Consider the following 13,704-nt stretch of genomic DNA (forward strand, 5'->3'; position numbering starts at 1 on the left):
GTGTGATGATGTCCAGCCTCTGGGTGACTGGTCAGTAAGCCATATCCTATAACCTGTAGTATGATATTTCATCCATGTCTAAAAATGGGATTGAAATGAAGTTCTGAGAGGTGGGATATGGACCAGGAGAAAGAGGAAAGGAACTAGTTGGAAGAATATTCCTAACATAGAACCTTTTCATTTAAAATTCCAAACCCTTTTCTGAGACTTCTCATATTTCTTCCCATTTTTTTTTACTTTATATGATAGGACTTAATTCTAGATAATACCATGATACTATATTTATATGATTTATTTATTTGTAATCTTTTACTCTCTAATAGTTTGTAAGCTAATTCATGAAGGCAGTGAATTTTTTCATAGGATATTAATGAATTGCAGCCTTAGTGCTTTGCCCTACCTTCTTGGATATTAATACGTATTTGAACCAGATTCATCTTTCGGAGATTTGGTCAGCTTGGACTTATTTGTATTGGAGATAATTACAGGTGACAGGGGTGATTTTTATTTAGTATTCTGGTGGTCAGGAGCATTAAATTTAGAGTCTGTCTGAATTCACATTCTCACTCTGACACTTATAGTTGTGTGACATGGTGAAAATTATTGAATAACTTTAAAGTTTTCTCATCTACCAAATGATTCTACTAATATTATCTATATTTATGGTTGTTGTAAGCAATATATGCAGCATCATATATAAATCATTTTTATGGTGCCTAGCACCCAGTAAAACTTGCTAGTCATTTTAATCAGTTCAAGGTGCTATAAGAAACTACCATAGATGAGGTGGCTTAAACAACATAAATTTATTTCTTATGGTTTTGGAGACTGAGAAGTCCGAGAGAAGATGCCAACAGACATGGTGTCTGATTAGGAAGTATTTCTGATATGTATAACACCTTCTTCTCTTTGTGTCCTCATATGGTGGAGAGGAGAGAAAGAGAGAGAGAGAGAGAGAGAGAGAGAGAGAGAGAGAGAGAGCTTTCTTGTCTGTTCTTATAAGGGCGCTAATCCCATTCATAAGGGCTCCACCCTCATGAACTCATTAACTCCCACATACCATCACATTGGGGATTAAGATTTCAACATGTGAATTTTAGGGGAACACAAATATTTGGTTCATAACTATGGTGTTTATATCCTCAGTGTCTAATGAGAAAGACAGTAAACCCTCTGTTTTGATGTATACAGCTTTTTACACAAGTGGTGGAAAAGCTGAAAAAAACTGTGGTGAGGCAATCCATAAATGAGCAACAGCAGGATGCCGCTACCACCTCTAGGCATTCTGGACAAAGAGATCAGGCAACATGAGAGCTCAGGGGCAAAGTCACATGATTGGAAGCTGCTGCCTTGAAGGAGATGGAGGCACTGCCTGATGTTGATGACAAGATGGACCACAAATACCCTGCTTTCTCTCATCTTTTCACCTTCTATCCTCCCCTTCAAGGAACCTAACTAGAAGTCAAGTGATAAGAGAACCTTAAAAATCCAGCTCATGAAATCAGCTTGCCAGTTGTACAGAGTGTTCAGAGAGAAGGGCAAAGAATGGATCTGAAGGCAAATAGGTCCAAACTCTGGTCCATATTCATTATTATTGTTAGAATTATTATTGCCAAGATTTCAGCCTTTCTCCATTCTATTACTCAATGTAATGCAAAGGCTTTTTCTTATTTCCTTGGGATCACCTACAAATTACTTTTTATACTATTTCATATTAAAGCAGAAACCATACTTACTAGTTTTAGTATAACCCATGTTGCAAAGTGCCTCTCTCATGGAAAATACTTCTGTTACAGGAATAAATTAGATTGAATCTATAAATCCATATTAGTACTTTATAATTAAACCTTGATCAGTTCAGCCACTTAGCAGTTCACCTACATACCTCTAATTTCATTTTATACTTCCCTGTTTTAGAATAAATTACTATTTTTATGCAAAGCAAATGAGTGTTTCATTTCCATTACTGACTCTTCATATCAGAGAAATTGTATGATGAAGGGTTATTGTCATGATAAAAAGTTTCTAACATTTTTTCCCTTTATGCTCTTTAGCAGTTATTATAAATAAATGATTCCTTATATCTAGATACTATTTGTGTGTTTTTTAAAAGCTAATTAATTTTAGCATTAGTGAGTAATATTTTCTGTGAAACATTATCTGATTCTGTTCATCGAACAAACAGGAAGATTTAAGAGTACTTCCCCCTCGAACATTTTCTAATTCATGAAATTTTATGTTGCTTTCAAAAAACAAATCTTATTTTTTAATTTTAAAATGTTTTTGGAGAATTTCCTCAAAAATAATGTATTTTCAAATGCAGTACTATTTATACATAGGACATTCCACTATAAACCCTCTACCTCTCCAGGTTTTAAATAAAAGCCTGACCTAAAAAAGACACATCTGAATATAATATATTTCTAAAATCCCTCTGTTTTTCATAATGAATAGCATTTGTGTGCTTAAAACTTTTACAGATTTAAAACCTAATTCATAATGTTATGATCAACATAGTACACAATCCCTCTGGCATTTAGACCCCCTTTATTTTACTCATTGCACAAATACATTGGTTGTAATTGTGAAGCTCTTCTGTTATATACCAGATACAGAATTTCAAGGATAAAGAGGTAAAAATAAATAGCAGTCCCAATTTCTTCTATTAAATTGAAATTTATAGGACTGATATTTTTTAGAACAACTACAACCCATATTTATGCATTTTTTATAAGTGAATCACCCTCAAAAGGACTTTTTAAATCCCCTCTTTCTTTCTACTGGGATACTTATAATATGAGGTATGTTTTGAATATTTCCAGAAAATTGCTCAGTGTTTCAAACATTACTGGTAATTAGTGATAGACAGTGCAACGTCTTTCATCACCCTTTTACCACTTCAATGACCATAGCTATATTTATAGGATAAAGAATAGAGAATCTCACCCGGGCACTGTGGCTCATGCCTGTAATTCCAGCACTTTGGGAGGCCAAGGTGGGGGGATCACCGGAGGTCAGGAGTTCAAGACCAGCCTGGCCAACATGGTGAAACTCATCTCTACTAAAAATATATATTTAAAAAAATTAGCTGGGCATGGTGGCAGGTGCCTGTAATCCCAGCTACTCGGGAGGCTGAGGTAGGAGAATTGCTTGAACCTGGGAGGCGGAGGTTGCAGTGAGCTGAGATCGTGCCATCGCACTCCAGCCAGGGGAACAAGAGCAAGACTTCATCTCAAAAAAAAAAAAAAAAAAAAAAGAATAGAGAATCTGAATATTGCCTAGGTAGAAAACTATGGCTGAGCAAGAGTGTTTCAAGTAAAGCCATGGAGAAAGAAATTAAACATAAAAATATAAGGTCAAGTCAAGGTCATGGATAGAAAACAGATTTTGGATCGTTTTCTTAAAGTGAAAATGAACTAAGATGGAAAATAATTATATAGAACAGACGTTAAGTCAAGAACTATAACATCTATAGGATGTCCTGGGATATTTCTTTTTTCTGTCCTCAAATTGATTATTATTGTTCTCTCACTGTTTGTTGATCATTTCATGTTGCCAGCTTTTGGCTTTGACTTTCTCTATTTTTTTTTTTCCTGTTCTGATGTTTATTGATTTCTGCTGTTATTTCCATGTTTCTTTTTTCTATTTTTTTTTCTCTAGTATGGTGTGGTAGAATCTTAGTTATTTGTTGTTAACTTTTATAAAAGTTATATTCTAGTATTAGCATTTAATAATGTAAGTTGTCTGATAAGTATTGCTTTAACTATATCCCACACTTCTATTTGGTTTTCATTAAGTTTAAAGTGCTTTCTAATTTTCATAGTAACATGTTACTCTGACACATGAATTATTTAGAAATGTTTGTTTAATTTTTTAATATTTAGGGGTTTGACAGATAACCTATTGTGGTTAATTTCTATTTTAAATATTTTATGGCCCTAAAATATATTCTGCATAATCACAACCTTTCCAATCTTAATTTTGTTTATGTCTAACATATATATTTTGGTGCATCTGCCATGTGCAGAAGAAAATAATATTTATTCTGCAAATTTAGGGTACAGTGTTATATAAATATTAATTAGATCGTGGTGGGTAGTACTATTCAGATTACTTATTTCTGTATTAATTTTTTGTTTCCTTATTCTACTGTATTTCAGAGAAGGGTATTAAAATCTTTCTTAATGGTAGAATTCTCTATGCCTTTAATTCAAATTATGCTACATGCACGTTGAGGCTCTGTTCTTAGATGTTTATACTTTCACAATTGTTATGTGTTCCTACTGAATTGAACATTTCATCATTAAAAATGTTTCTTATTATCTTTGCCAATACACTTTTTCTTGAAGTCAATTTTATCTCCAGCTTTGTATTTTATTCTTTGCATGTTTTATCTTTATCCATCTCCTCCTCTACAATGTATCAGTATATTTAGTTACATTTCCCATAAATAGAATGTTATTTACCTTTATTTCCTTTTTGTTTACCTAATTTATTTCATTTACATTTATGATATAATCATAAGGATGGCTGGATTTGTATCTATTATTTTATTTTGATCTTCAGTGTGTTCTCTTTTTTTCTCTCTTCTGTTCCCATCTTCCTTTTTTATTCTGATTTTGAATTTTTAGCAGTTACATTTCAATTAATGTATTGACTTTTTAATTATGTATCTTTCCTTCAATTTATAGTAGATATTCTTTAGAATATCCAACTTCCTTTAGGGATTACAAAATGTATCCTTAAATTTTAATCATCTACTGAAATTTCACTTCAGTGAACAAACAAATGATAAGGAGGTGAAGTAGCCTTATTGTTGATATGGAGAAAGTTTGAGTGGACTGAATAGAAGATCAAACCATCATTTCCTTAAGACAAAGCCTATTCTAGAACAAGGCCGTAACGCTTTTCAATTCTGTGAAGGCTGAGAGAGGCGAGGAAGTTGGAGAATAAGAGTATGAAGTGACCAAAAGTTGATTCATGAGGTTTAAGGAAAGAAGTTGTCTCAATAACATAAAAGCACAAGGTAAAGCAGCAAGTGCTGATGTAAAAGCTAGAGCAAGTTACCCAGAAGATCCAGCTAACAGCAATAATGATGCTGGACACACTAAATAACAGATTTTCAATGCAGTCAAACAGCCTTCCATTGAAAGAAGATGCCTTCTGGGACTTTCATAGCTAGAGAGGAGAAGACAATGATTGGCTTCAAACCTTCAAAGGGCACTGGTACTCTTGTTAGAGTATAATGAAGCTGGTAACTTTAAGTTGAAGCTAACATTCATTTACCATTCTGAAAAACCCTAAGGCTGATAAGAATTACACTAAATTGACACTACCTGTGCTCAGTAAATAGAACAACAAAGCCTGGATGTCAGCACATTGGTTTACAGGATGGTTTTCTAAATATTTTAATCCCACTGTTGAAACCTACTACTCTGTAAAAAAGACTCCTTTCAAAATATTACTGCTCATTAACAATGTGCCTAGTCACCCAAGAGCTTTGATGGATATTTACAAGGCAATCAATTTTCATGTAAGCTAACAAAACATTTATTCTGTAGTCCATGGATCAAAGAGTAATTTTGACTTTCAAATCTTATGATTTAAGAAATACATTTTGTAAGGCTACAGTTGTCATAGATAGTTATTCCTGCAGTCAATCTGGGTAGAATAAATTGAAAATCCATTAGAAAGAATGTACTATTCTAGATGCCTTCAAGAACATTCACTATTTGTGCGAGGAGGTCAAAGTATCAACATTAACAGAAGTTTGGAAGAAGTTGATTCTAACCTTCCTAGTTGACTTTGAAGCATTCAAAACTTCAGTGGAGGAAGTAACTGCTGATATGGTAGAAATAGCAAGAGAACTAAAATTAGAAATCGAGTTGATGATGTGACTGAATTACCACAATCTCCTGAAAAAACTTAATGGATGATGAATTATTTCTTATGGATGGGCAAAAAAAGTAGTTTCTTGAGATAGAAACTACTTCTAATGAAGATGCTGTAGCATTGTTAAAATGACAACAAATAATTCAGAATTTTAGATTAATTTAGTTGATAAAGCAGCAGCAAGGTTTGAGAGGATTTACTCTAATTTTGAAAGAAGTTAATACTGTAGGTAAACTGCTATTAAAGAACATCACATGCTTAGAGAAATCTTTTGTGAAACGATGAGTCAATCAATGCAGCTAATTTTATTGTTTTATTTTAAGAAATTTCTACAGCCACCTCAACTTTCTGCAACCATCACCCTGATTCATCAGCTGTCATTAACTTGAGGCAATACCCTCCACCAACAAAAATATTTTAACTCACTGAAGACTCGGGTGATGCTTAGCATTTTTAGCAATAAATTATTATTATTTTTATAATTATTATTATTATTTTGAGACAGAGTCTTGCTCTGTTGCCCAGGCTGGAGTGCAGTGGTGTGATCTCAGCTCCCTACAACCTCCGCCTGCCAGGTTGAAGCAATTCTCCTGCCTCAGCCTCCCAAGTAGCTGGGACTACAGGTGCACGCCACCACACCCAGCTAATTTTTGTATTTTTATTAGAGATGGGGTTTTACCATATTGGCCAGGCTGGTCTCGAACTCCTGACCTCGTGATCCGCCCGCCTAGGCCTCCCAAAGTGCTGGGATTACGGGCATGAGCCACTGCAGCCAGCCCCTAAATTCTTTAATTAAGGTATGTACATTGTTTTTAGACACAATGCTATTGCACACTTAATAGACTACACTCTAATATAAACATAATTTTTATATACACTAGGAAACCAAAAAGTTTATGTGACTTGCTTCATTGTGATGGTCTGGAACCAAACCTGTGATATCTCTAAGGCATATTCATGTAATAATTACATGTATTAGAAACCCAGAGTCAAAGTTATAATTTTTAAGCCATTATATGTATTTTGCATAAAGAAAAATGCTGTTTCATACTCTCTCACATATTTATGATTTCTGAAATTAATTATTCCTGACCATATGATTTTTCTTTCTAGTAGTCATTTTCTTTTAGTCTGAAGAAATTCATTTAGCCCTGGGGTATTTCACCACATGCTGGTATAGTCTAGTTAATGAGCTTTGAGCCCCCATGGATAATTATTTCAGAATTGTAGGTGCATCATGGAGATGCCAGATTATTTAAGCTGTAAAGCACCCTTAGAATTGGGATAGTTGTCCCACTTTCATGTCATTTAAGGAAAAATTCTCATTTTCCTTATTCATCCAATGCCATCCAAGGGTGTTGGATAAATATATACTTATTTGCTGGACTCTCTTTATTTTTCTATATTATTTTTTGATTGTCAGAGGCTCTCTTTAAAATGATCTCATGGCAGATAAATCCCAACTGAACATCAGATTACACTTTATGTTAGTAATCTTTCAGAATGTTTGTTGAGGATTTTCAGTGTTTGTGTGTGTAGTTTCAATATTAATGTCAATCAATTTTCATTTGTTTCACTTTCAGTTCTCAAAGTAGGATTTTCTGAGTTTCTAAAAGTATGTGTTCTTTCAGGTTACTATACTGTTCTATATGTTACACAGATGATTTGCAATTCCATAGGACAGAAAATCCACTACATGTTTATGTCCATGATTGGGAGTCATCCCTTTTGCTCACAAGATCTACTGTACTGTGCTGTGTATTTTACTTTCTGAGTTTCTAGAGATGACCCCGGGGAAAAGTCAAATAAGTGAAGTCTGTCTTCATTTTATACTTATTTCTTGATTTATATTTTCTCTTTTTCCCTTATGAAAACCATCACTGTGGAAACACTTTGAGGAGCTTATTAACATTAATCACTTTAATTATTATTCTATCAAAGGGAATTTGCTTTAACAGAGGTTAAAGGAGTAAAGCAATAATAATAGTGAAATTTTTGCACTTTTAAATCAGTTGGAGGAGGGCTCTTTAAGAAAAAGTAGTGTATAAAAGAGAAAGAGGATGATGCTTTTAGAAATATGACATTTGGGAAATTTCCTCATTCTGACTAATCCAATTTAAAAGGACTCCTACACTAAACCACTTACCTTGAATCTGTTTTTGCCTTAAAAACAAAAACAATAAGCTGAATATATGCAAAATCAAATGAAATGCACAGTCATCAGCTATTTTTATTTATCAGTGAAGAGTCTTAAATCATCACTGAATTTTAATACCTAGGATAGTATATTTGTCTGATACAAGACGGTTATTTGCTGTCTCTGGATTTAAGGCAACAGAAGGCTGACTATACATCAGATACAGTAGAATTACAAATATCAGAATATAAAAAAGAGTTCAAATAATAATGTACTTCTTCAATCAAATTCAGTCATACATTTTATTTACCCAAGAAGACTTTGATAAATATTAACTGATTATTCCCATATTATTTAAAAAAACTCATTTGGATATATCAATATGGATAACTCTAACGTTGAAAGGCAGGGTGGAAAACTTTATACTAGAAACCAATTCTTTTGTTGTTGTTGTTGTTGTTGAGACAGAATCTCGCTCTGTCGCCCAGGCTGGAGTGCAGTGGTGCGATCTCGGCTCACTGCAACCTCCGCCTCCTGGGTTCCAGCAATTCTCCCTGCCTCAGCCTCCCGAATAGCTGGGATTACAGGCACCCACCACCATGCCCAGCTAATTTTTGTATTTTAAGTAGAGATGGTGTTTCGCCATGTTGGCCAGGCTGGTCTCGAACTTCTGACCTCAGGTGATCTGCCTGCCTTGGTCTCCCAAAGTGCTGGGATTACAGGCATGAGCCACCATGCCTGGCCATAACATACTAATATTTTATTGTTATTTCCTCTTTAAAAGATAATAATGTCAATCTGGGACTCATGCTATTTATTTCAAAATATATGTTGTTGGATCATCAGTAGAATCCAGTGAACCAGTTATAGAGTATCCAGAATTCAAACTCTTTCAACAAAAGTGGCATATAATATAGATATAAAATATAAATAACATACATATAAACAATATACATAGTGTTATATATAAAGGGTAGCTCAATGAATAAATGAGTTACTAAAAAACATTTTTTCTATGTCAGTGTAAAAGATCGTATAGTATTTCGCTGATGGCAGAGAAAGTATCATCGCAGGATTTCAAGAGTAAACTAATCTGTGTTAGAAATGCATCACTTTTTACTTTCCTGACTAGTTATTCCTGTGAAAATGTGTTGACCCCTTCAAATCCAGTAGAGAAATGCACACAAGGAGAGTCATTATTTACATGTGGTGAAGGCTTAAAGGCTAGATGATATCAGACTCAGTCCCTTGTGATGAACCTTAAAAAGTCAGTGGTCTTCACTGATGTCCAGTTAAAATGTTAGTGTCCAAGGGATCAAAAGTACTCAGACGTGAGTTTTAGCAGTTTTTGGCAATTGTTTCAATACTGACTAAAAGTCTTTGTGAGGATGGGTGTGGTGGCTCACACCTGTAATCCCAGCACTTTGGGAGGCCGAGGCGGGCGGATCACGAGGTCAGGAGATCGAGACCATCCTGGTTAACACGGTGAAACCCCATCTCTACTAAAAAAACAAAAAACAAAAAACGAAAAATTAGCTGGGCGTGGTGGCGGGTGCCTGTAGTCCCAGCTACTTGGGAGGCTGAAGCAGGAGAATGGCGTGAACCCGGAAGGCGGAGCTTGCAGTGAGCCAAGATCGAGCCACTGCACTCCAGCCTGGGTGACAGAGTGAGACTCCATCTCAAAAAAAAAAAAAAAAAAAAAAAAGTCTATGTGTGGCAAAGAGAATGACACAAGCAACAACGGCATGATAAAGTACTTCAGTTTTTATAAAACTACTGTCCATACCATTGGCATTAACTTCATGTTCAATTTGTGTATGCAGCCTTTTTGTGCCAAGATGGAGAACCTGGCTGAGAAGATATGTACCTATAAAAAGGTCCACTTAGAGGCAACTCTTTACATTGACTACAAAGATAAAGAACAATGAGCAATTAAAGAACATTGGTTTTGGGGAAAACAGTACTGTGTTTGTTCCTTTTTGTTCCTTTTATTTAATTAGATGACTATCAAATTATCTTGGTAACTAAAAAATAGTAGTCAATCTGACAGGAAAGAAAAATAATGCTGGTAGCAGAATTATGCTAAACAGCATTCAAATACGCTCTAATGGAAAGGTTTCTCAGTTCAGCTGACCTTCATATTTTTACTGGTACAGAGGAAACATACAGCATTTAAGTTGCAATTTGCCCTGACTAGTTATAATTTATGTATATCTTGTTTATGTTTAGCTAATATTATAATTCATTGCACACAGGATTCCCATTTATCTGGGACCCATCTCTAAACTGATATTTTGAGTTGATAGTTTTGAATTAATTGCCTGATATTTCTCAGGCATCATGATATAATATAATCAGAAGGCTTGTGCTGATTCTTGAATTTACTAGCAGTCAAACTTGGAAATGTCTCTATTTCTTAGTGTCCTAGTTCTCTCAGCTGTTATATGTGAATAATTTGCATTGCATTCCCTGAAGATAAAATATCATAATAGATGGGGAAATGGTTTTTATACTGCAAAGTGATGTGGTCCTATCATCATCATCAACCTGCTCACATAAGCAGGTCATTTCAGCCACTCAGTGGCTAAAGAGAACTGTCTTCTCTTTTCTTATATTGCTGATAAACTCTCATGCATTGTGGATATTTTCAGAAGTGTCACCTGTTGTGCATAGGATGTGGCCAGGTGTGGTCTAACGGATCATCTCTGTGGTTGGAATCAACAAGGCAGAGAATAGAAGCAGTCCCAAGTTTCCCATCATACCATGGAGTGTGAGATTCATTCTAATACTACTTCCACCTGTGGATCTCTTCATATAGAAGACATTCAAAGAACAGATCTGCACAGGAGAAAATAAATAGGCTGTTTGGCATAGATAATTTCTATTAAAGGGTGTTGCTTGCTAACAGAGTGTCTGGGAAAGCCAGGTAACCTGCACCTGTTGATCAAGGGACAGCTGAGAAACAAAGTCCTTGGGATGCTACATGCCAAAAGGAGGGCACCACTGATCCTATGAAAAACTGAGTTTGGTTTGCTCTCTAGCTGAGAAAATAAGTCTCCTGAAATCCAGCTAGCCCTTTGTTTAAGGAACACAGAGTGAGCCCCTAAGATCTTACTCAAACAGTCCTGATTCTTGTGTGATACAGACTCACTATTCTCTAAGAAGAGACTATTTTACTCCTTAATTCACCAAAACTGGGTCTGTAGGAAAGCATCTCTATCTTCTGCATCCTGCCAAGTCGTGTCAATTCTGCCTCCTTTGTAAGAGGTAGTTTGGTATATAGAGTAAGAGTGTAAGAGTGCATGTGCTCTGGATCCAGACTGCTGTGGCTCAAACCCAGCTCCTCTGCTTGTTATTCTGTCATCTTCATCGTGTTACTGTCTCTGGGCCTCAGGTTACTCACTTGCAAAGTACAAATAACAGAAATACCTATCTTATAGATTTTTACATATATCAAACAATATAAAAGATTTGGAGCACTGAGGAGAACACCTCCTATATATTAAGAACTCAATAACAGTTGCTATCTTTATGGACTTATACAAATTTGATCACTAAGCATTTAAGATCTTAAAAAGCAACACTTGCTGACTGAGGTAGGAAGTTTCCATTTATTGATTATATAGATTGATTCCCTACACTGTGCCAAGTATTTCATCCTCAAATAATTATATGTATATTTTATCTGCAGGTAATTTGAAGCCCTGAATAACCTTTTGAGGCTACATAGCACTTAGTAGATGAAGGAGATCTCAGGATCATCTGACTCCAAAGTACTGGCTTGCTTTCTTATTCTATGTTCAGAAGCTCTGTTCTTCCTTCAGTTTTCTGTTTCATTTCTCAATGAGAATGATTTTAAAGCATGCTAGTTTTTATGTGCGTGCCCAGAGGCACTCTAGCAGAGACACAGTTACCCAGAAAAAGATGCGCATGTCTTCTTTATGATCCTCATATATCTATAAAGAAAAAAATCCTTACAAATACACATATATATTCCAATCTTTACAATTCCAATAGTAGATACTCACATAGAGACAGAAGAAAGCATTCTTCCATTCACTAATGTGGACATGCACATAAGCATATTAGAAGGTGTCTGTGGGCCAGGTGTGGTGGCTCATTTCTGTAATCCCAACACTGAGAGGCAAAGGTGGGAGGATCACTTTCAGCTCAGGAGTTTGAGACCAACCCAGGCAACATGGTGAAATGCCATCTCTACAAACAAACAACCAAACAAAAAAACAGGTGTGGTGGCAGATGCCTGTGGTCTCAGTTACTCAGGAGGCTGTGGTGGGAGGATCATTTGAGCCCAGTAGGTAAAGGCTGCAGTGAACTGTGATCGTGTGACAGACTCCAGCCTGGGTGACAGAGTGAGACCCTGCCTCAAAAAAAAAAAAAAAAAAAAAAAGAAAGGAAAAAAAGACTTGGTGTGAGGAGAACTGGCAGATAAAGCAAGAGTTGATCATAGTATGTGAGATTATCCAACTCAAACTTAGCTATTTAGTCTCAAATGCCATGAAAAATTAGTTTTGAATCTAGTTTGCTGCTTGAGTGTTGAGAGAAGGAGCTGACCAATAACTACAATGAGTAAGCATAAAAACAGGCTTCTGGGAGACAGTATGGAGGAGTTCCGTGGAGGACAGTGGGGAAGAAGAACAAACATTGCTTCCTGATCTGTGAAGGTGCCAGAAGTTAAACAACAACAACAAAAACAAGACCCCAGAAAACAGAATCAAGTCTACAATAACAAAAAAAGCTCAAGTCTATGGGCAGATATGGTCTGACCTGGAGTCTAGGTGTGTGCAATGTGACTTCTTTGAGTGAGTTTTTGATGTGGGGTGAGGAGAAGGGAAATGTGGGAAAGGGCACAGCACCTCTATGTGAGGAGTGGTGTGTGAACCATTCTAGCAACTCCAGTCCAGCAGAACACAGGGTTTGCTAGCCTTAGGATCAGTGAAACAGATACAGCTGTAGGAATTCAGCACCTGCAGTGACCATAACAGAAATTATCCCTCCTTATAACCAGCATCCTTGCAGAACTAACATGACAGCTCATTTGGTGCTGCATTCCAATACATATGAGACCCAGAGAATGACAGCTTTTACAAAAATATAAGGACTTCCTGTGACCCACAATATCAACCACTGAATCAAAGTAAATGAATGGGCTGGATTGGGTTGGGATTCCTTGAGCCCAGATACAAAGTAAGGCATTTTAAATTTGCTTGTACACTGACTATACATCCAGGCTTTTGTAGCCTGAGGGACCAATTTTTATAAACACACTGCACAATATGGTCATAAATATTCTTTACAATACATATATATCTACTTGAGCCAAGGGTCAGAGGAGTCTTCTACTACAATTTAGAAATCATCCATGAAGTGCTGATAATGTAGGTCTACATCAGAGTCCTGAGAAGACAGATGAAACTACATTTCAATGATTGATTTCCTTTATAATCCTGTGTATTTAATTTAATACAGCTAAAATCAATATTGTGAGACAGGGTCAGTAGGCTTTGCCCAACTATCACAAGGTAATAGCAATAAATATGTGAACAGAGGAAGAGAAATTGGCAGCTATTGCAGATGCAATTCAAACCTCAGAAATCCGGAAGTGATAGGCAGGACAGGATCCCTGACCATGGTAGACATGTCCCATGGTAACATAG

At 35.9% G+C, this 13,704-nt stretch overlaps 2 long non-coding RNA genes across 3 annotated transcripts in view, besides 1 other annotated feature; one reads left to right on the plus strand and one right to left on the minus strand.

Annotated features, from left to right (window-relative positions):
• The window catches only part of LOC101928283 (uncharacterized), a 194,753-nt gene that overhangs the window by 49,718 nt on the left and 131,331 nt on the right, over positions 1–13,704 (plus strand). The window lies entirely within an intron of this gene.
• LOC101928254 (uncharacterized) overlaps positions 1–13,704 on the minus strand; it is a 34,713-nt gene that overhangs the window by 4,708 nt on the left and 16,301 nt on the right. The window contains exon 4 of one of the 2 annotated variants that reach the window (NR_110182.1): positions 12,058–12,244. The exons of the other annotated variant lie outside the window; for it this stretch is intronic. This is a non-coding gene — a long non-coding RNA (uncharacterized LOC101928254). The remainder of the gene's footprint in view (positions 1–12,057; positions 12,245–13,704) is intronic. 2 annotated transcript variants of the gene reach the window in all.
• Positions 12,569–12,863: an enhancer, noted in NCBI's record as "tiled region #1923; K562 Activating non-DNase unmatched - State 6:EnhF". NCBI's record gives its function as "activates a minimal TATA promoter and a strong SV40 promoter by Sharpr-MPRA in K562 cells {active_cell/tissue: K562}" and the evidence as "EXISTENCE:reporter gene assay evidence [ECO:0000049][PMID:27701403]".

The sequence above is a fragment of the Homo sapiens genome, chromosome 7, assembly GCF_000001405.40.
Source record: "Homo sapiens chromosome 7, GRCh38.p14 Primary Assembly".
Taxonomy (NCBI): Eukaryota; Metazoa; Chordata; class Mammalia; order Primates; family Hominidae; genus Homo; species Homo sapiens.